Genomic DNA, 21,965 nt, shown 5'->3' with positions numbered 1-21,965 from the left:
TGCACAACATTTATTGATGAAGTTTGCCATCATATAGAGATGTGGTTCATGGTGCCCCAAAACAATTACAATAGTAACATTAAAGATCACTGATTGGCCAGGCGCAGTGGCTCACGCCTGTAATCTCAGCACTTTGGGAGGCCGAGGCGGGCGGATCACGAGGTCAGGAGATCGAGACCATCCTGGCCAACACAGTGAAACCCCGTCTCTACTAAAAATACAAAAAAATTAGCCGGGCGTGGTGGCCAGCACCTGTAGTCCCAGCTACTCGGGAGGCTGAGGCAGGAGAATGGCGTGAACCCAGGAGGCAGAGGTTGCAGTGAGCCGAGATCGTGCCACTGCACTCCAGCCTGGGTGACAGCGAGACTCCATCTAAAAAAAAAAAAAAATCACTGATCACAGATACAATAATGAAAAAGTTTGGAATACTGCAAGAAGTACCAAAATGGGACACAGACATGAACTGAGCACATGCTGTTGGAAAATGGCACTGACGGACTTGCTCAACACAGGCTTGCCACAAACCTTCAATTTGTAAAAACAAAAACAAAAACACATCTTCAAAGTGTAAAGCAAGGTGCAATAAAATAAGGTATGTCTATACTGTATAAAATACAAACAGCCGCCTTTATTTTGAGGTAGGGATAATCAGCTGAAGGACTTTGTACCTGGGATCTTTCTCAGTTCCAAATAACCTTTTCTCACACAGTCATAACAGTCCACTGAGATAGAGGTAGATCCTTGAAGCCATGGGTCTTCTAAGAGAGCTATAACTGGGACAGTATCAGTTCTGACCGCACTCTGACCTACGGAAGGTACATCCTTCAGCTCCTGCCAACTTGGCAAAAAGCTTTATTCCCAGATGTTTTGCTAATTGAGGTCTTAGTGTTTTCTGATAATCTGTAGTTTTCTGTAAAACTTCTTTATAGGACTTAGCATACTTGTAGTAATTTAAATAACTATTTATTAGTCTATTATTCTCTCTTAAGCTATAAACTTTACTGGAGCAGAAAGTCTATTTTGTTCATCGCTATCTTCCCAGTCCTAGCATATAGGTACTCAAATATTTGTTGGCATACTAACCGCATTATTTTACATATCTAGGATGTGGCTCCTATAAAATTTAGAGAGCCATGTGTCAGCTTGGGTATCCTCAAATGTATTGAGTTGGTCCCAAGAGTGAGCACCTCAAGAGGGCAAGGCAGAAGTGCATGGCATTTTTATGACTTAGTTTTGGAAATCATGTATGGTGTTTGTTACTTCTGTCATACCTTATTGTTCAAAGTAGTCATAAAGTACTTTCCAAGTTCAAGGTGAGGGAATAAGGACTTCATAACACTTGATGGGAAGAGTGTCATAGTCACATAAGAAGAACATGTGAAATGGGAGATCTCGTATTGGCTATCTTTGAAAAAGAATGTTACAGTTGTTTATAATTTTCACAAAATTTGGAAAACTTTTTGGCCCTTATTTCTTCAAACATATTTTCTGTCCCCCTCCACATTGTTTTTTTGAGACTAATTATATGTATGCTTTATATCTCACTAAGACTTTGCTTCTTCCTTTTCAGTTATTTTTTTCTCTCTGCTTCATTTTGTATAGTTTGTGTTACTATTGTCTTCAGGTTCACTGTTATTTTCTTCTGTAGTCTCCAATCTGTCGTTAAGCTCATCTGTTGAATTTTTTTTTATATCTTCTATTTTCTCACCTTATTATGTTCATATTTTCCTTCAAATCCTTGCGCATATTTATTCCAACTATTTTAAGTTAACTGTTAACTTGTCTGCTAATTCTCTTATCTATCACATTTCTGGGTCTGTTTCTATTAACAGATTCACCCCCACCCCAATTACAGTATTTTTCTGCTTCACATATCTAGTAATTTTTTATTGCATGCTAGACATTACAAGTGCTACATTAAGTATCTGGATATTGTTGTCTTTAAAGAATATTGGCCAGGCGTGGTGGGTCACACCTGTAATCCCAACACTTCGGGAGGCCAGGTGGGCAGATCACCTGAGGTCAGGAGTTCGAGACCAGCTTGGCCAACATGGTGAAACCTCATCTCTACTAAAAATACAAAAATTAGCCAGGCATGGTGGCAGGCACCTGTTGTAATCCCAGCTGCTCAGGAGGCTGAGGTAGGAGAATCGCTTGAACCCGGGAGGCAGAGGTTGCAGTGAGCTGAGATTGTGCCATTGTACTCCAGCCTGGGCAACAAGAGTGAGACTTCGTCTCAAAAAAAAAAAGAATATTGAAAATTGTTTTGGCAGGTAGTTACTTGCTAGTCAGCTTGATACTTTCAAAGCTTGCTTTTAAGCTTTGTTAAGGCAAGTGTTTGGAATAGTTTTTGCTCTAGGGCTAGTTTAGCTCTACTACTAAAGGATGATTCTCCTTAGAGCTCTAATGAATGTCCCTGGTATTCAAGATCATCCTATCCAGATAGTGGGAACGCAGATGTCCCCCAGCCTGTGTGAGCTCTGGGAATTGCTCAGCTTGCAATTCCAGTTTGCAGTTTCATTGCCTGGCTTTGTGGGGTTTCACCTAATACATGTGTAGGTTAGTATTCAGTAATGGACTAAAGGGATCCCTATGCAGAGGTCTCCCTTCTGGAGGTCTTTCTCTGCACTGCAAATCTCAGCCACCTCAGTTTCCACAAATTCCAATCTCAGTCTACTCAATTCCTGAAGAAAGATACATTGTGGTCTGCAAAGCACTTCTGGGCAGAAAGCTGGAATGATCACAGGGCTCACCTTATTTGTTTCCCTTTTCTCAAGGATCACAATTCTTTACTGCCTGTTGTCTGCTGTTTATATCAATTTTTTCATGTATCTTTGATCCAGTTTTCTAGTTGTATGTGGTGGAAGAGAAGATTCTGTACCAGCAACACAACATGTTGAAGTATGAATTTACCCCCATGATTTCTTTCTTTTTTTAACCACTTAAAGTACAACTTAGTTTCCAAATGTAAAAATGAAGTCAACTTTGAGTTAGAATAAATAACTCGGCTTCAAGATTCAGGCCTACCTCTAACTTGCTGCATGAATAGTGGCAAATCTTACTTGTTTTTTGGCAGACACAGCAAAATTGAATTGAATATAATCCTATTTGCCCTACTTCTCAGGCATTCTTTAACAAGCAAATGGAAATAAAAACAAATCACATTAAATAAGGATGAGGTTATATTTATAGTTAGTTGACAACTCACTTTTCAAACCTCTCTTGCCTATCTTCCAGTTCCATTCTCTAAAGAATAAAAGCGCCTGAGTTAAAAGTGTAGTGAGACTGGTGCTGTTCCACTGCTCCTCCTCTTAATATTAGCCAACTGCTACTGAATGTTTTCTATGTGCCGGGAACTGTGTAAGCCTTTTATGTGAATAAATTTACTAAATTTTCTTTTTTCCTTTTTTTTTTTTGAAACGGAGTCTTGCTCTGTCGCCCAGGCTGGAGTGCAGTGGCACAATCTCGGCTCATTGCAACCTCCGCCTCCCTGGTTAAAGCGATTCTTCTGCCTCAGCCTCCCAAGTAGCTGGGGCTACAGGCGCTTGCCACCACGCCTGGCTAATTTTTGTATTTTTAGTAGAGACAGGGTTTCACCATATTGGCCAGGCTGGTCTTGAACTCCTGACCTCGTGATCCACCCGCCTCGGCCTCCCAAAGTGTTGGGATTACAGGTGTGAGCCACCACGCCTGGCCTTACTAAATTTTCATAACTGCCATATGGATAGGTACTATTATTGTCATTTGACACCTAAGAATGAGATTAAGCAACTTGGAGAAGGTCACATAGCAAAGTGGCAGTGGCAGAACTAGGACTGATTTTTTTTTTTTTTTGTATTTTTAGTAGAGACGGGGTTTCGCCATGTTGGTCAGGCTAGTCTCGAACTCCTGACCTCCTTATCTGCCCGCCTCAGCCTCCCAAAGTGCTGGGATTACAGGCGTGAGCCACCGCGCCCGGCCAAGGACTGATTCTTGAGCCATGCTCTTAACCACCACTATGTGACTACTTTAAAACTACTGAAAATGCATCAACTGCTGCTGTAGAATCATTAATTATCCTTAAATATAAAAGAGCATCATCTCTGCCATCCTGTTAACAAATCCTGTTTGTTTAGTCAGCCTGATTTCCATGGGGAAGCAGAAAGATTGGGCTATCATTGGAATATGTGATTCCTGAGAAAAACACCGTTACAATGGCTGGAAATGGAAGATGATGTCCAGCACCAACTACCTTGAGAATAGGCTATAAGTGGAGTACAGAGGATCTAGTGTGGTTCTCAGAGGATCACTGGTGTGTACTGAATCTCTACTGTATGTCTTTTAATATTAATAGGCTCATTATTCTTTTTTCTCTCCTTTCTCAGACACATTTAATCAAACCAGGCACCAAAATGCTAACACTCCTTCCTGGAGAAAGAAAGGCTAATATTTATTTTACTCAAAGAAGAGCTCCATCTACAGGCATTCACCAGAGAAGCATTGCTTCCTTCTTCACCTTGCAGCCAGGTATGGTGACCCATATGGGAATACTTCATTATCCAGAGCAAAAAAGGAGTGTGTTCATTTGTCCATGTTAGACCATTTATGAGAAATGGTGAAACCAGTGCATTGTGTTAAACTTAGCCTGTTAGAAGAGGTTATAAAACATAAGTTGTTGCCTTTTGAAAAGCAATATATGTGTACTTTTACAAACATACTTTTCTGGTTCTGTTTTGCTCAGCTTAATATTAAATATTTGTATTTGCTGACAGAGCAGTCAGGAAGGGTGTACTTGGGAGTTGGAGGTGCACTGGGGAGTTGCCCTGCCATTAGTTAGGTGGTATATATCTTGGGTTGGCCACAGTGGGTACTCTGTCTAAGGTTAATTAATAATTGATACTTTTGTGTGACGCTTCTCAAATTAGTGAAAGGTTCAAAGATGCTTTTTCTTAGCCTCACATAAAGTTGGCTTATGTCTCTTCCTTTGGCTGTTCTTTGCTTCCAGGTCCCTGTTCAGGGGAGCAGCTGACTCAGAGCAGGCTGGGCCTTAAACAGCAGGGTTCCTGCCACTTGGAGGGTGTTGGGAAGAGTGCTCTAATGCCGGGTGTGATTCTCAGGATTGCTTTGCCTAAACCTTCAAAATGCCCTCTCCCTCCTCCAAACAAAAACGTACACTCTTTTGCTTTATGTAAGGGCAGATTTAAAAAAAACAAACAAAAAACCCACTTTTTCCACTTACAAATTCTGGTGTATTTTATAGTCTATATTGAATGCTAAGGAAAAGTTGAGAATTCTCACAAAACCTAGTTTCTGCAGTATAATTCTTATTGTAGAAGGAAAGAGGAAATCAGTTATTCTGCTTTGTTTTTATAATTAGATCTTGGAACAATTTGAGCCAAGTTGGGAATTCCATGTCCTCCATCCTTATCTTAAGGCAGAACAGAATCCACTCTATGCCTGATAAAATTAACAGGCTGGACACTAGTAGTTGTTTCACTATTCTACCTACTGATTGACTTAGCATCCTAATTGTGTCTTCACTCCCTTTCCAATGAAATGCCTGGGGAGTGGAGGACCCACGTTTTTCACACTGTCACCAGAAGGTTTCTCAGAGTTGGATAGTTAATGTCATCTTTAAGACCTTACAAAACTAGTATGTGTTTAGCATGTTTCTTTAAGGATAATGTCTAGGAATGTATATTTGACCAGGATCACCATTTAGTAAAAAACCACATTAAATAAAAAACAAAAGCAAAACTGATGTGCCGTATGTTAAACAAACCTACAAATGAAAACTCAGCTGGTAAAGTAGGCTATGGTCTGATCGTATGCGATGTTTGACTTTATTAGGTAGGTGATGGGAAGTATCCATGTATTTGAGTAGGGAATATAAGATCTGATGTTTTAGAGTTTATTCATGATAGACTGGCAAGATTGAAAACAGGAAGATTGGCTACAAAGTTATGTGAAGAGTCTTAAGACTCCTGCACTAGGTAGTAATAGTAGCTGATACTGATTTCAGAAAAAGCCAACTGAATCCTGCTTAGGGCAGTTTTTCTGCAGAATAATATTTGTTCATTCCTGTTTTATTAGGAAAGACAAATGGCAGTGACCAGAAGAGTGTTTCATCTCATACAGAAAGTCAGATCAACAAAGAGTCCAAGAAAAATGCGACCCAGCTAGACCATTTGATCCCAGGCTTAGCACACGATTGCATGGCATCCCCTTTAGCCACTTCAACCACTGCAGACATCCAGGAAGCTGGACTCTCTCCTCAGTCCCTCCAGACTTCTGGCCACCACAGAATGAAAACCCCATTTTCAACTGAGCTATCTTTGCTCCAGCCTGATACTCCAGACTGTGCTGGAGATAGTCATACCCCACTGGCTTTTTCCTTCACCGAGGACTTGGAAAGTTCTTGTTTGCTAGACCGAAAGGAAGAAAAAGGGGATTCTGCCAGGAAATGGGAATGGCTTCATGAGTCTAAGAAGAACTATCAGAGTATGGAGAAACACACCAAACTACCTGGGGACAAATGCTGTCAGCCCTTAGGCAAGACTAAATTGGAAAGAAAGGTGTCTGCCAAAGAAAACAGGCAGGCCCCTGTCCTCCTTCAAACATACAGGGAATCCTGGAATGGAGAAAACATAGAATCAGTGAAACAAAGCCGTAGTCCAGTTTCTGTGTTTTCCTGGGACAATGAAAAGAATGACAAGGACTCCTGGAGTCAACTTTTCACTGAAGATTCTCAAGGCCAGCGGGTCATTGCCCACAACACTAGAGCTCCTTTTCAAGATGTAACCAATAACTGGAATTGGGACTTAGGGCCGTTTCCTAACAGTCCTTGGGCTCAGTGCCAGGAGGATGGGCCAACTCAAAATCTGAAGCCTGATTTGCTCTTTACCCAGGACTCTGAAGGTAATCAAGTTATCAGACACCAATTCTAAATGTTTGAAGCTTTGTTTCTAAAAGTACCTTGAAATGATAGAGATGTAGGAAAATATAGTTGTGGGTGGAGAGAGGAGTGAGTTTGTTTAGGTGGGAAGGTGGCATGGGATGAAGTTGTCATTACTGAGCATCTTCTCTGTGTAAATAAAGGGCAGTACCATTGTTAAGACAGTGGGATTGGCATCATGGCTTTCCCTCAGGAAGGTGGTGGCTGGTAAATTCCCTGAATGAGTCTATGATGAACACTGAGGCAGCACAGTGGGTATTTATCTCTATGAAAGTGCCTTTTACTCAGCCTGCACAGAGCCATCTCTTTGCCCTTCCAGATGTCTGACTGGGACCTTGCTTATGGATGTGTTTTTTTTTTTTTTTTTTTGAGATGGAGTCTCGCTCTGTTGCCAGGCTGGAGTGCAGTGGTGCGACCTCAGCTCACTGCACCCTCTGTCTCCCGGATTCAAGCGATTCTCCTGCCTCAGCCTCCCGAATAGCAGGGACTACAGGCATGCGCCACCACGCCCAGCTAATTTTTTTTGGATTTTTAGTAGAGACGAGGTTTCACCATATTAGCCAGGATGGTCTCCATCTCCTGACCTCCTGATCCGCCCACCTCAGCCTCCCAAAGTGCTGAGATTACAGGCATAAGCCACCGCGCCCAGCCAGATGTGTGAGCTTTTAATCTCTGGCTGATCTTAACCCACATCAGCCTAAGCTTGGGATGATTACTCTTGACCCTTTTTTTTCAGTGATTAGCAAATCTCCCCACAACCCAGGTGTGGAGAGAAGAGAGGTAGAATGGTGCTAGTTTCCTATTTTATTTTTGTGGTAACTGTACAGCACTTTAAAGTTATATACTCTATGTTTAAATATCTCCCTTAAAAAGCCTGAGCTGTACAACAATCTGGATGTGACTCTGTTACCCTTTTCCCACAAGATAGGAGGGAATCCCCTTTGTAAAACTATGAATCCAAATAAATGTTTACAAAGTGGCTCTTGTGATAATTGGTAATTAAACCATTACCAATTTTATTTTTGAAAAGGCAACACTGTAATAGTATATGCTGTCATTGCCCTGAGCCTGATCTGAACCAGAGTCTAGTTTGACCTGTCTTCTACCCAAGGCATTATTCCTTGTTGTTGATGTGGTATCTAAGAGGCTTAAACAACCTCTAAGGGACAAACTTGCAAGGTTATAAGAGAACTGCTTCTTTTTTTTTTTTTAACTTAAATTTTATTTTTTTGAGACACGGTCTCGCTCTCTTGCCCAGGCTGGAGTGTGGTGGCATGAACACGGTTCACTGCAGCCTGGACCTCCTGGGCGCAAGTGATTCTCCCACCTCAGCCTCCCGAGTAGCTGAACTATAGGCACATGCCACCATGCCCAGCTAATTATTTTTAAAATATTTTGTAGAGATGAGGTCTTGCTTTGTTGCCCAGGCTGATCTTGAACTCCCAAAGTGCTGTGATTAGAGGTGTGAGCCACTGTGCCTGGCCTAATTTAAATGTTAAATTCTACTTTTATCGTGTATGTCATCTCTCCAGTCATTTTCCTGGAAGACCTGCTTTTAAGAATGTATGGGGCTTAGTGCGGTGGCTCATGTCTGTAATCTCAACGCTCTGGGAGGCTGAGGTGGGAGGTTTGCTTGAGACCAGGAGTTTAAGACCAGCCTGGGCAACATAGCAAGACCCCATCGCTACAAAAAAATTTAAAAATTTCCTGGGTGTGGTGGTGCATACCTGTAGTCCCAGCTACTCAGGAGGCTAAGGTGGGAGGCTCACTTGAGCCCAGGAGTTTGGAGGCTGCAGTTAGCTAATGATCCCACCACTGCACTCCGGCATGACAGAGCTAGATACTGTTTCTAAAAAAAAGAAAAAGAGTATAGGGCAAAATCTCTACAGAAAGGGGGAAGAAACCCCCTAGAAGGGCAGGACCTTATAAGGAAAGAGGAGAAGCCAGTAGCCTGTTTAAGTTCATACACCTTAAAATTAACAATAATCCTATGCCCCTGAAGGATACTGGGTAATCGCAACTCAAGAGATGGACACAGCAAATGCATTCTCTCTCCAAGTCCTTCCTTTAATGTCAGGTAGTGCTTCAACCCAAACACAAGCAGTATACATACCATAGAGAAAGGGACCTGAGGGCATCTGAGTCATGCATGGTGTGGTACATACAAACCTTGGCCCAGCCCAAAGGAGCAGTCAAGGGCCTGGAAGAAAGATGGTTTGCTCTTTCCCCCTCCTCCTCTCTCTTTCCTACCGGGCTTAAAGTCCGTGGAAGAGAAAGTTTTTAATCAGTGGAACTGATAAGGCCTCAGGGCCGTGGAGGGTAGATTTGGTTGTTCAGTAATATAAAATGTGTTTAAGAAAAAAAACAGCCCAGGCTTCCCAGCAGTAGCCCATGTGTTGGCTGGTTCAGCAGCCTGACCTCTACATCTAGACAAGGAAGTGAGGAGGGTGATTGCTGGGCATTGGTGTAGGTTTATGACGGAGCAGCATAAGATTTTCCGTGCCCTGTGAACATGTATACAAACATTCATAGCCCCTTCCCCTCAGCCCTGCTCTGCTGCAAGGAAGCTGCTGAGTGAGTGACAGCTGGGCACAAAGTGTCTTGTGAGACCAGCTATAGGGTCTAATGCAGTGAAGTCAGTCATTTAGGACCTATTTTCACACAGGGGCAAGGAAAAACCAGAAACAACTTCTCTCTTACCCTTTAAACTAAGATACTTCATTCTACACGATTACCTGAAACAAATGTCTCAGGTCAAATCACAAGCCTTAGCTTCTGCTAGGGTTTGAAGTCTGGGAAATATATAATCCAGCTCTTCTCTTTCAGTCCAAGCTCTAGCTTGTCAGCAAGACTGTTGCAGAAGATCTATCCTTAAGAGGCAGAAACATCTGCGGTGAGGAAGGCAGCTATTGAAGGTATTCCAGGAGCATGAGACTGAGTTTGCAGAGCTGAGGGTTGTCAATTTCCTTTTCTACTGATATCTTCTTCCTTTAGAGCAAACTTCCTCCTTAGGACCTCAGAGATAAGCACAGCAGGGTCTTCCTCCTTCAATAAACTCCGGTTCCTAGAGACACAATAATAGCTTGAGTACTTACTCTTTCCTGTGTAGTGCTGTATATCTTTTGAATACATTATCTCGTTGAATCCTCACAACAATCTTACGAGGTAGGTGCCATTACAATTCCCTTTCACAGATAAGGAAATTGAAGCACAGAAAGGTTATACAAGTTGCCCAAGGTCACTAGTCACTCAGCAAGTAAGCGGTGAATCCAGAGTTCAGAACCAAACTAGCTGGTTCCAGATCTCATCTATTAACTAGAATGCTTTACTATTTCCTGAAATAGCTATAAAGTATGGGCAAAGTAAAGGACCATCAGTCTGTTAGAGTTGGCCTCTGGTGGCTAAGCTTCTGCCTTCTGGCCCTGTTTTCTTAGTAGCATTTCCCCAGAGGGTCAGCAGGGGAAGTGACTGATGACTCTTGGCTATTCTGACCCTTGATAGTTCTGGAGAAAAGGTGTGCTTGGGATTTCCTACCACCGGGTCTCCCCTTCAGGGGAGATGATTTTTTATGAGAGCCAGAATTAGAGCAAAACATTCACATAAGAAACTCATGGGAACAAAACCAACTCCAGACTGAAGTAGGCCCAAGTTATCTGATACATCATATAAGAGGGTCCTAGATACCTGGAAAATAGTTGCTTGAAATCCTAGTGAACTTATATACATTCATCATGAAGGTGTTTTACTGGTGATTAAGCTAAATATAAGAGCCAAGACTGACTATTCAACCTTCAAAGCAAAAACAAGAGGGACTGCGTTTGGTTGGTGACATATCTGAACCTTTGCTGACTGGGGTACTTTCCCATTCTTATTCACTGACCCAGCTCCTTCTGATCTGAGGACACAAGTGGGAGGAGGGGGCTAGCAATAAGGGTCTTGAATCTAATTTGGTCCAAAAGGCAAGTAAGAGAAAGTTTGAGAGTCAACCTATAAAACATTTTGTTCAGAAGAAGACAGCTCAGAGAAGACCAAAAACAGCAGCAACTGAATTTGGGAATGTGGAAGACCAAAGAGATATGGGTGAGTATGACCAACCTGACTAGGGCCAGTGAAGGAAGGTTAAGAGTGACTTCCCTAAATGGGTCAACTGCCAGGAAGCAATGAGGGAGTCACTTAGCCTGGTCTACTTTTCAGAGGGAAATGGATCCCAGGAGACAAAAAGGGATCCAGGGCAAGTAACTTTCCCTTTAACAAGAACTTTATCAACTCAGGAGAGGACCTCGCTTCCCTGTCCCCAAAACAGTTTTTCATCTGCATTAACAAACAGAGCTGCACAAGCTGGGTGCTGGCCATCAAGGTCTGGCTCTCAAATGCCCAGGAACCTGCATTCAAACCAAGCTCCTCTGGTGAGTCCTGTGCAGCTGTTGAAACCGCAACCCACAACTGGAGAAACACTATGCAATGGGGTGACTCCCTGAGGCTTCTTTGCCAGATGAAGTTTTTCAAGGTAGGTATTCCCCAAAGACCCTCATACTCCATCGGAAAAACCTAGAGCTCCACTCCTTGGGGTTCTACTTTAGTAAGTTAAAGGTGTATTTTTAACAAATCTGAGCAATTCTGATGGGCAGCTAGGTTTCGGAACTACTGGTGAGTCTCAAAAGCCTTATTCTCAAATCACTGAATGTGCAGGGTTTGTTTGCACAATGGACCACTGTATTTTAAAGCAGAAATCTCCAACTTTATGAAATTCTCCTCCCACCAAAAAAGTCTACCAATTTGAGATAAGAAAACATAACAAAACATAATGTCATGCAACCCCTCACTTTGAAGGGTGGGCCATGAAGACACTGTCACTAGCAGTATGAGGACTGAAGTGGTAAAGCCACCTGAGGACAGAAGTTGGATTAGATGAGCCTTCTTGTAAAATCCCTACTAGCCTCATATTTGGTTGGGGTGACCAAACCCAATAAATGTAGTGTTGCTCTTTCCTCAAACTGGGGCCCCAGGCACTGGCAAGCAGGTAGTCAGCAAGCTTTATGAATGACATAACATATGGTACTACTAAGAACTTACTATGTAAGTATGTTGCATTACATAATTGGCCATGGGCAACTCTGAGTAAATAGATACCAGAGCTCCTCATCAGATACTTACAGATCTTGACTCTGTTTCATTCGGTGAAAGTCCTTCAGGATACCCATCATGTCTGCAAAGCTGCTGGCCTTGGACAAAGAGACGCAGTCATCCTCTTCAGACGAACTGCAGGCAGCTTTGTGTTCTGGTTTGCAACATTCAGGGCTGGCAGAACAAAGCAGGGGGACTGATGGAAGCTCAGGGACCTCCACCTCTGTCTCCTCGGTGATGTCACTAATGACAAAGGAAGTTGTAGAGTGGAATGAGGATCCAAAACAAGGTAAGGGAGAAGAGACATTTGAACTTCCTGGAGATAAGAAATCTGGCGTTAATGAAGCCGAAGCTGAAAGAGAAAACAATAGGCATGGGTGGACATTGGGGCTAGAACACAGTAGCAATATCTTCTCCCCACAGCCCTGCCTACTGAACATTCATTTCCTGGGCTGACACCATGACAATCTGGGAGAGCCAGGATGGTATCTGTAGCCAGTGGAGGGTCATTCCACTATGCTTCTCACTCGGGGGCTCAGAAAGCTGTAGAAGCACTGGGCTTTTCCAGTGTTCCAGGAAGGCAGGAAAACCCAGCCCCATAATGGCCTTGGCATTTAAAAGCTCCCATTCCACAATAGGCTGTGGAGTGACAGCCCTGTCATAGGCCAAAGCAGCAGAGATAAGAGCTAAGGCCTGAATTTGTCCTTTTCTCTAACTAGACTAGTGCTTTTGACTATGCTCCTTTGAAATCTTGCTATCTGTGAACTAGAAGACATGTTCTGAGCAAAACCAGAATGGTAACAGACCTCCCAACCTCCCCAAATTTCAGTGGAGAGAATTTCCTCAGTTTTTACATTTCTAAAAATACTTTAAAAACACTAAATACACTAAAAACTATGTTTCTAAAAAAGATGTTACTTCTGCTTGTCTCTTGGATGACAAAAAAGTAGCCAAGAAATAACAAAGTTTCAGTACAATTCTTCATAAAACTTCCATGTGAAGAAATTAAATACATGAAGATTTCAAAGAACACCATGATTTTCATGTGTCCTACCAAATGATAAATTTCAGAGCTATGACTCTGAGTCAATGCAGAGTGAAAAAATGAGGATGGGAGGAATATGAAGATAAGCCCTGAGCATCTTGGGAGCGATCCACCTGTTGGCTGTCCATGCCTCTGGTTAAGGCAGGCTTCCCATCCATTTCCAGTGGTTCTGCCTTAACTGTAGACAGAAAGCTGGAGGGGTGGGTTACAGGGCTTGTTTGCATAATAGACCACTGTTTTTTTTTTTTCTTTTTTTGAGACGGAGTCTCACTCTGTCGCCCATGCTGGAGTGCAGTGGTGCAACTTCAGCTCATTGCAACCTCCACCTCTGCCTCCACCTCCACCTTCCAGGTTCAAGGCACATGCTGCGATGCCCAGCTAATTTTTGTATTTTTTATAGAGACAGGGTTTCACCATGTTGGCCAGGCTGGTCTCGAACTCCTGACCTCAGGTGATCCACCCACCTCAGCCTTCCAAAGTGTTGGGATTACAGGCGTAAGCCACAGTGCCCGACCACTGTATTTTAAGGCCAAGATCTCCAACTTTATGAAATTCTCCTTCCACCAAAAAAGTCCACCAATTTGAGATAAGAAAACATAACATAATGTCATGAAACTCCCCACTTTGAAGGGTGGGGCATGGGGACAATGTCACTAGCAGTATAAGAACTGAAGTGGTAAAGCCACTTGTGATTCCTGGTAGAAACAACAAGGCAAGGGAAGATAGGTGCTTAAAAAGGGTAAGTCTCAGTGGTGGTGGGGGGAATGTTTACTTCTTGTATTGAAAAGGAAAGCAGGGCGCGGTGGCTCATGGTTGTAATCCTAGCATTTTGGGAGGCTGAGGCAAGTGGATTGCTTGAGCTCAGGAGTTTGAGACCAGCCTGGGCAATGGCGAAACCCTATCTCTACTAAAAATACAAAAAATTAGCTGGGCATGGTGGCATGCGCCTATAATCCCAGCTACTCGGGAGGCAGAGGCACGAGAACTGCTTGAACCCAGGAGGTGGAGGTTGCAGTGAGCCAAGATCGTGCCACCGCACTCCAACCTGGGTGACAGAATGAGACTCTTGTTTCAACCGCGGGCACAGTGGCTCATGCCTATAATCTTAGCACTTTGGAAGGCCGAGCTGGGTGGATTGCTTGAGGCCAGGAGTTTGAGACCAGCCTGATTAATGTGGCAAAACCCCGTCTCTACTAAAAATAAAAAAATTAGCCAGGTGTGGTGGTGCACACCCGTAATTCCAGCTACTCAGGAGGCTGAGGCACGAGAATCGCTTGAGCCTGGGAGGCAGAGGTTGCAGTGAGCCAAGATTGCGCCACTGCACTCCAGCCTGGGCAACAGAGCAAGAACCAGGACCCTGTCTCCAAAAAAAGGAAAACTGGCTGGGCTCGGTGGCTCACACCTATAATCCCAGCACTTTGAGAGGCTGAGGTGGGTGGGTCATCTGAGGTCAGGAATACAAGACCAGCCTGGCCAACATGGTGGAACTCTGTCTCTACTAAAAATATAAAAATTAGCCAGGCCTGGTGGCACACCCCTGTAGTCCCAGCTACTCAGGAGGCTGAGGCAGGAGAATCGCTTGCACCTGGGAGGCAGAGTGCAGTGAACTAAGATCGTGCCACTGCACTTCCAGCCTGGGCGACAGAGCAAGACTCACTCAGAGGAGAAAAAAAAAAAGCTACTGTGGGCTTATGTAAGATGTGATCTTAAAGACACTTAGAAGAGGGTATCAGTTTGGGGGCTAAGGGAGGGACTCTGCCTGGGGTCACAGGTTAATATTTTGTTCTTAACCAAACCATTCAGCCCAAAATGGCTGGTAGAAACCATCTAAGAGGCACTACTGGCTAGCCAGGCTTCAGGACAACCCCAGGGCCCGGAACCTAAGTACCTGCAAACCAAGGATTACCACTTTCTTTACCCCTATCCTGCCCAAGAGCCAGGGGAAAGGAACAGCCTGTTACGTTCTGGCCCTGGCACAGGGGCTCCTACCTGCATCAGCTGCCACTATCTTTGCAATCTGGCTGCGCAAGTGGCTCAGCTCGTCCTGCAGCTCAGTAGTGCGGCTTAGGGCTGGCAGAGCTGGCTTCTTCAGGGCCAGAAGCCTCTCCTCGGACCCACGCAGGTTGGGAACAGAGGCATTGCGCTGCATGACAATCAGAGGGCTGGGTTTCCAGGTGTGCCTCAGGGGGCGCGTATCACTCCTGGACCAGGGAAAACCAAGTAGATCAGTTAGAGACAGCAGGCCACTGTGCTCCTAAGGTTCCTTCCCCCACTTCTGTGAGAGTAGTATAGTAAGGTTCTGCTCCTCTCTGAGCCCACAGTTCTCATTCCTCTCTCCTTGCTGCCTGCCACCTCTTCTGGGAAGTTCTCCATTCCTTAGCAGACCAGCTACTGCCTCAACTACCTGACCCGGGCATATGTCTCCTCTTCATCCGCAGCAATCCAGGCGATGTCAGCCAGGGTAGGGACTGGGGGCACATCTCTCAAACACAGGTCAGAGATGTTGGGCAGGGTCTATGGAGAAGCAAAAGTCATCAACATTTACAGATGCCATGATGAGCCAATCAGAAACTGCAGAATACACAGGAGGGGTACCTAATCCGGCACTGGGTGTCAGGAAGGCTTCCTAGAGGGGGCAGAAGAAGGTTCCTGGTCGAAAACATTGAACAGAGGCCAGATGACAGTCAGGCATGGTGGCTCACACCTGTAATCCCAGCATTTGGGAGGCCGAGGCAGGCAGAATGCTTGAGACCAAGAGTTTGAGATCAGCCTGGGCAACATGGCAAAACCCTGCCTCTACCAAAAAATACAAAAATTATCTGGGTATGGTGGTATACGCCTGTAGTCCCAGCTATTCAGGAGACTGAGGTGGGAAGATGGCTTGAACCTGGGAGGCAGAGGTTGCAGTGAGCTGAGATTGCACCACTGTACTCTAGCGTGGACAACAGAGCCACATTCAAAAACAAAAACAGGCAAGACACATGAGAGTCTATGGGATTACAAACAGTTCTGTGTCTTCAGTGGAAAAGGCCTGAGTCACCTTTTAGTAGAGATGGCAACTGTCTAAAACCACTGTGCCCTCTGGTGAAAATACAAGTACAAGGTCATCCACAACCTGTTACAGCAATAGGAAATTTTTCCTGACTAGCTTTTTATAATCCTGTATAGCTAATTGAGATCTACATTGTTACAGCAATGCTGTTTTAAACAAACCTGAAAATTTGAATATATTTAGATTTAAATAAAAATAAATGATTATACAAAAGGAACCATAATAGGATTTCTTAAAATAGCTCCTCAACCTAGAGATGTTGAGTAAAGTGAAAAATTAGGATTCAGTCATGTTGACTGTGATTACAACAAAGTAAAAAACATCCATCTAGAAAAAGAGGACTACACTAAGACATTAATAGTTATTGTATTATTACTATGTAATTATAGGTAATTTATTTTCCTTTTACTTTTCATAATTTTAATATTTTCATATGCTTAAATTTTCAAAATAAATTGGTAAGAGTCCCTTAAATAATATTTAAGGTAATTTAATAATAATAATAAATGCATATTTACACACAAGTAAGATTCAACTGTTTCTGCTACAAATTATTTGGTATGGTAGATGGATCCAGGATTGATCGCTCCTGCATTTAGATAGGAAACCTGGGACTCACAGGAGTTAAGTGATACTCCAAGGTCACACAGAGAAGAACTTCCAGTGACCCAGGAACTAGTGCTAAAATAGGGCATTTGGGGGAAGCCTCCATTTGTTTTCCTGATTAGCCCTGAATGCTCCTTTGCTCTTGGCAATTAAATGAGTAAACAAATATAAAGTACAGCACAGTGCCTGACACATAGTATGTGCTCAGTAAATGTTATCTAGTATTACCAATACTGCTCACATACATTCCTGCTCTGTGAGAGCCTGTGCCCTTGATTGTCTCTGCCCAGCATCTGGCCAAAGAACTGAAGAGGGTATAGCCAAGTGTGGGGACGGCCTCTATGCAGTGAGCCACACTCCCTAGCTGTCTCCCTTTTTTTTTTCTGATGCTTCTGAGGCAAGTTAGGACCAGTTCCTGCCCAGGATCTTTAGACAATTCTGGATAGCTGGCAATCTGAATACTGGGACAGCTTTTCCTGCCCCCTACCCCTGCGACACTTCCAACTCCATTCCTGACCCTAATACCAACCCTGACACCTCTTCTAATTCCAGATCCAGTTCCTACAGACTCTGCTTCTTAGCATCTTTTATACAGATTTGGCTCCTTCATTTCTGTTTCTACCTGGGCCCACATCCTTTCATGCACATATTTCTATCTCCTCTGTGTGGGTAGAAAGCACAAGTATTTCTTTTGTATCCCAGCTCTCCAAATGCACACATCTGAACCATATAGTTTGGGGCTGGTGCTTAACCATTTAGTTCCTAGAGGGAGGCAGCTGGGACTAATAAATGCTACTTAGCTTTCTACCACAGAAGGGGTCTCAAGAGACCTGGGCCAGGTAGGAATCTCTGCTGCTGAGTGGGTGCTAAAGGATCCCTAGACACAGAGGTAAGACCAAAGCACCCCAGTAAAGGATGCCCAGATTGGCCAAAAAGAGAAGGCTGAGGAATTATGGCCTCAGAGAAACACTAAAAATAGTGGAGCTGGGCATGGTGGCTTGTGCCTGTAATCCCAGCTACATAGGAGGCTGAGGCAGGAGGACTGCTTGAGCCCAGGAGTTTAAGACCTAGCCTGGGCAACATAGGGAGACCTCATCTCAAAAAATAATAAAATAAAAATACTGGCTACATGGTCAATTCTTAGGGCTGGTGAAGAAAAGCAGAGTTCAACTCAAAAATCACAATAGTCAGTGTCCCATGTGGGGGACCTGTCAGGTTCCTTGTGGTCACAGGTTTGTATGCACTCAGGAGGACACAGTGACCAGGATATCTTATAAGCATTTAACAAATATTTCATAACAGAATGAAAAGTGACCAGGAAACAACCTACTTGGGCAGTACCAAGGGGTTTGGGGCACAGAAGCAGCACTGTCTGAGCCTCTACTCTCCTGCCCTTCCAACATACTCACCTCAAAGGACGCCCGGGCACACGGCTTCAAGGGTAGGTTGGTCCCAATTCTTCTTACTACACTTCGAGCAGCCCCATGTGGCTTGTTTTGCCAGATTGGGATGGTCTGGAGCAAAGAGACGGAGACAGCTACAACCCCAGAGAATGAATCCAACTACTGTCCTTGTCCTCTCCTCTCTAGGTTTGTGGAGACTGAATTCCACAAACCTAGGGACAGGGCACTCTCTAGGGGCAAGTCAACTCTCAATTATAGTGAGGGCAGGTTCCCCAGTTGCCAGCCTACACCCTGGCCAGCCACCCAAGGGAATACCTGCTGCTGCTAAGGCAGTCAATGTTGGGAGGGTCAGGGAAGGGGAGAGGAAGTAGCTGAGTGTAGAGATTATCCAGGCTTTCCTTCCCGTCCTCTGTACAGAAAGGCAGACATACACTGACTCCTGAAGTGCCCCAGGATCATAGTTGGTTCTTCTTAGGGGGAGGGAGTGAAACGGTGGCCTTGCTCCAATTCCAGGCCTCTGGAGAAAGGAGTGCTCAACTGGAGAGTCTCAGAACCTTTTACAGTACTTCAGCAGGCCCAGCACCCAACCTTCCCCACCATACCCCTGCCCTGGGAATGCCCCTTACCACAGTGGCTTCCATTCCTGACATTTGAACCAGCTCCTGCACTTGAAGGACAAGGCAGCCACTGGGCAGCTCCGGGAGGCGGGAGGCGTGACTCCTTCATATCAGGCCATCTGGAGGAGCACCAGATTTCCCTCTTGTGAAACAACCCCCCACAGTGGGGATTTAATGGTCACCACACAAGCCCCAAAAAACCAGGCCCTGCAGAGCCATGACTTCACAGGGGAGAAAACCAGCCCAAGAGGCTGCCCTCACCCAACACTTAGCTCTAAGTCCAGACTCTTAAAGGTTCTGTTAAAGATCTGCGGCCAGGCGCAGTGGCTCACATCTGTAATCCCAGCACTTTGGGAGGCCGAGGTGGGCGGATCACGAGGTCAGGAGAGCGAGACCATCCTGGCTAACACAGTGAAGCCCTGTCTCTACTAAAAATACAAAAAATTAGCCAGGTGTGGTGGCGGGCACCTGTAGTACCAGCTACTTGGGAGGCTGAGGCAGGAGAATGGCGTGAACCCAGGAGGCAGAGCTTGCAGTGAGCCGAGATCACGCCACTGCACTCCAACCTGGGTGACAGAGCGAGACTCCGTCTCAAAAAAAAAAAAAAAAAAAAAAGATTTGCCTAGTGAGCTTGGCCAACCCAAGAGCCTTCCTGGGCTCTCAGGTTTCTTGAGGCAAAACTTCTAAAGATGCAAATAGAATCCTTGGTAGCTACAAAGCTCATCTAGCCAAATTATAAGTACTATCCAAGCCCAGGATTCATTCTTGAAGATGAGATGTAAAAGCACTGCTGGGCCCTTGCAAAGGGAGAGATCAGAGAAAATAGGAGAACGAACACCAGCTCATGCCAATCTCAGTCTCATGAGCTACAGAGAAAAAGAGCCAAAAAAGTTTATCCTGGCTCAGCCACCTTCTGGCTTTGTAGCTACAGGCAAGTTATTTAACTTTTCTGAATGTTGGTTTTTCCATCTGGAAAAAGGAGACAGGAAAAGCTGCCACTGGAGGCTACCTTAAGGGTCAATGAGTGAAATGGGGTTGAGTGCTTAATGAACTGTTAAAACATGACACAGATGGGTGAGGTGACATCTGACTGCTCTTCACAGCAGTCCTTGCATGGTGAGCAGATGCAATCAGTGTGCTCGTTCATTCACTTGTTCATCAAACACCAACAGTACCCACTTGTGCCAGGCCTTGTGCTGGGCACCGTAGGGGCTATGGAAGGAGTAAGACACAGTCATGCTCTCAAGGAACTCGCTGTCCAGCAGAGTGATAGGACATGAATACATACTTCTAGCAAAGGCTGAGTAGCATTAGGCAGGTGGCCAGATGAGGTCAGAGCTCTGGCCCTAGTGCCCTGTAGTAAGTTGCGAGGGAGTAGGAAATGAAGACAAAACAGCAAGAGCACAGGTCCAGCACAAGAAGGTGAAGGACATGGAAAGAGGAGCAGAGCATGATAAAGCTACAAAAGTAGGGGGCAAGTCATGAGGTCCGGGTCACTGGGGAGCCCTGGACAGGCTCTGAATGGGAGATAGACTAGACTGACAAAGCAGCTCTTTCTGGAGACCTCCTGTGGAGGGTCCCCTCTTCTACCCTTGGGAGACGAGGTGTCATTCACTTCACGATACACATGGGGAAAGGAAGTTGGACAGGGGAAGGCACTTGTCTAAGGTCACTCAGTGGTCATGCCAGTGCAAAGCACCCAAAGCCTGGTCCAGGTCCTGCCACCTCCTGCGTGGGCTCCATCTTCTCGGCTCAGTTCAAGCCTTTATTATCAGAGTCCCTCTGTGTGCCAGGCTCTGTGCTGAATGTCCGTGTCGGCCACAAATTGCACTAACGGTGCTTACTGCCACTTCCTCTCCGACCTTACCTCCAAAGACCCAGCCGGGCCTAACCCTCACACACAGCCAGAGGAATCCTTCCCAAACACAGTTAATCACATCGCTCATCCGTTTAAAACTGGCTTACTAGAGCCAACACAGGATAAAATCCACAATCAGTCCCAAACCCATCTTTCTCTGCCGTCTCTAGACCACATTCACTGAGCACCAAGGCCTGCACGCTTCGCAGCCAGCCCTCCTGCTCTCCCCCTTGCCCTCCAGCCACACTGGCCCTCAACCCCCAACACTGGGCCCACCTCTGAGCCCTGCATCAAACACCAGCACCCCCTTCGCCGAGCTCATTCTTCATCATTCCTCAGAGCTCAGCTTAAGCATCACCTTCCTTCCCTGCGACAGGGTCAGGTCCTTTCCTGTGCGCTCCGCAGCACCCTGCCTGTCCCTCGGAGTCCTCGCGAGAGGAACTAGATAACTGTGATCCCCGCGCACAGCACGGTGTCTGCCTAGGACACAGTGAGCGCTTCAACGCGCTGAACTAAACGAATGAAGGGGAACACCAACTCAGCTGTCACCCCCGCCCCCAAGTGTCACTGGCTAGAAGATCTTCCCCCGGTTCGCCGGCAGCACCGGTGGGTCTTGTCACCTCTGCGCCCCGCAGCCCTCCGGAGGCTGCAGTTGCTGTCTGCTGACAGGCGTCCCCTCAGGAGAACGGGAGCTCCTCCAGCGCAGGGCCCTGCTCAGCACCCCTGGTCCCGGGGGCCCCCACGGAGGCCGCCGCGCTCAGTGAAACTTTGCCGCGCGCAGCAGTGGCCGGAGACCCGCGCGGACCCTCTCCCCGCGGGGACCCGCCAGGGCGAGTCGCCCCTCCCCCGCGGCAGACGACCCGACCTGGGCCAAGGTCGGCCAAGTGCTCGCCGCCTGCCCAGCGGCCCTTGGACCCACAGGACCCGGACCCGAGTGCGCGGAAGCCTCCGAGCCGCGGCCAGGTCTCAGAATGCGCGGCGGGGCAGCCCGGCCCGTCAAGCAGCGAAGCCGAAACTAGAAGCCTGAGGTCTGGCTTGGTCACTGTTTGCTGGGGAACTCCGACGAGCAACTACCCTTCGGGGACTCAGTTTCCCCCGGGCCAAGTGAGACGGACAGCTGCGGCTCCCGCGAGAACTCGCGCGGGAACAGGAGCTGCGGGCTCCGCACAGCGCCCGGCACGTAGACCCAGTCTACTAACGGGCTGGAAGGTCGCGCTCCCGCCTCCGCGCCTCCCTAGAACCTTTCTCACCTCAAGCTCGGGCTCCCGGACTCTCTCACCTCACGGCCCCTCCTTCCACCTTGGGCCGCCCAGCCTCAACCGCCCT

The 21,965-nt window shown here is 45.9% G+C and overlaps 2 protein-coding genes and 1 long non-coding RNA gene across 8 annotated transcripts in view, besides 3 other annotated features; 2 read left to right on the top strand and 1 right to left on the bottom strand.

The window, feature by feature from the left end:
• Nucleotides 1-10,013, top strand: part of AUNIP (aurora kinase A and ninein interacting protein) — a 27,552-nt gene extending 17,539 nt beyond the window's left edge. For 2 of the 3 annotated variants that reach the window (NM_024037.3, XM_047430116.1), the window contains exons 2-3: nucleotides 4,365-4,506; nucleotides 6,073-7,913. In NM_024037.3, coding sequence (NP_076942.1) covers nucleotides 4,365-4,506; nucleotides 6,073-6,926 — 996 coding nt within the window. In that variant the 3' untranslated portion in view covers nucleotides 6,927-7,913. Of the gene's footprint in view, nucleotides 1-4,364; nucleotides 4,507-6,072; nucleotides 7,914-9,760 lie in introns of those variants that run through there. The other variant, NM_001287490.2, reaches the window with a different exon arrangement.
• Nucleotides 8,981-21,965, bottom strand: MTFR1L (mitochondrial fission regulator 1 like). 4 transcript variants are annotated; one of them, NM_001099625.2, is made up of 7 exons: nucleotides 21,890-21,965; nucleotides 18,791-18,900; nucleotides 18,171-18,275; nucleotides 15,508-15,617; nucleotides 15,093-15,304; nucleotides 12,089-12,410; nucleotides 8,981-9,998 (listed from the first exon to the last, which is right to left on the bottom strand). In NM_001099625.2, the coding sequence occupies exons 2-7, from the start codon at nucleotides 18,812-18,814 to the stop codon at nucleotides 9,893-9,895; spliced, it is 879 nt and encodes a 292-aa protein (NP_001093095.1). In that variant the 5' UTR covers nucleotides 18,815-18,900; nucleotides 21,890-21,965; the 3' UTR covers nucleotides 8,981-9,892. The 4 variants fall into 4 exon arrangements, with proteins under 4 accessions (NP_001093095.1, NP_001093097.1, NP_062457.3 ...); NM_001099627.2 differs by having other exon boundaries at nucleotides 12,089-12,301; NM_019557.6 differs by lacking the exon at nucleotides 21,890-21,965 and adding an exon at nucleotides 21,505-21,711.
• Nucleotides 18,313-21,965, top strand: LOC646471 (uncharacterized). The gene has a single exon (NR_024498.1). It is a non-coding gene; the product is annotated as an uncharacterized LOC646471 (long non-coding RNA).
• Nucleotides 21,170-21,259: an enhancer, noted in NCBI's record as "active region_467". NCBI's record gives its function as "activates an Ori minimal core promoter by ATAC-STARR-seq in GM12878 lymphoblastoid cells {active_cell/tissue: GM12878}" and the evidence as "EXISTENCE:reporter gene assay evidence [ECO:0000049][PMID:35858748]".
• Nucleotides 21,370-21,539: a silencer, noted in NCBI's record as "silent region_463". NCBI's record gives its function as "represses an Ori minimal core promoter by ATAC-STARR-seq in GM12878 lymphoblastoid cells {active_cell/tissue: GM12878}" and the evidence as "EXISTENCE:reporter gene assay evidence [ECO:0000049][PMID:35858748]".
• Nucleotides 21,640-21,779: an enhancer, noted in NCBI's record as "active region_466". NCBI's record gives its function as "activates an Ori minimal core promoter by ATAC-STARR-seq in GM12878 lymphoblastoid cells {active_cell/tissue: GM12878}" and the evidence as "EXISTENCE:reporter gene assay evidence [ECO:0000049][PMID:35858748]".

The sequence above is a fragment of the Homo sapiens genome, chromosome 1, assembly GCF_000001405.40.
Source record: "Homo sapiens chromosome 1, GRCh38.p14 Primary Assembly".
In the NCBI taxonomy this organism is placed as follows: Eukaryota; Metazoa; Chordata; class Mammalia; order Primates; family Hominidae; genus Homo; species Homo sapiens.
Note: the sequence above shows the minus strand (reverse complement) of the source record. Positions and strands in the feature narration are given on the sequence as shown.

Coding starts and splice junctions, on each gene's coding strand:
- MTFR1L (NM_001099625.2), bottom strand. CDS start 18,814: ATGTCAGGAATGGAAGCCACTGTG. Junction 18,276..18,790: donor CAGGAATGGAAGCCACTGTG/GTAAGGGGCATT, acceptor TCTTTGCTCCAG/ACCATCCCAATCTGGCAAAA. Junction 9,999..12,088: donor ATGAAACAGAGTCAAGATCT/GTAAGTATCTGA, acceptor TTGTGTCTCTAG/GAACCGGAGTTTATTGAAGG.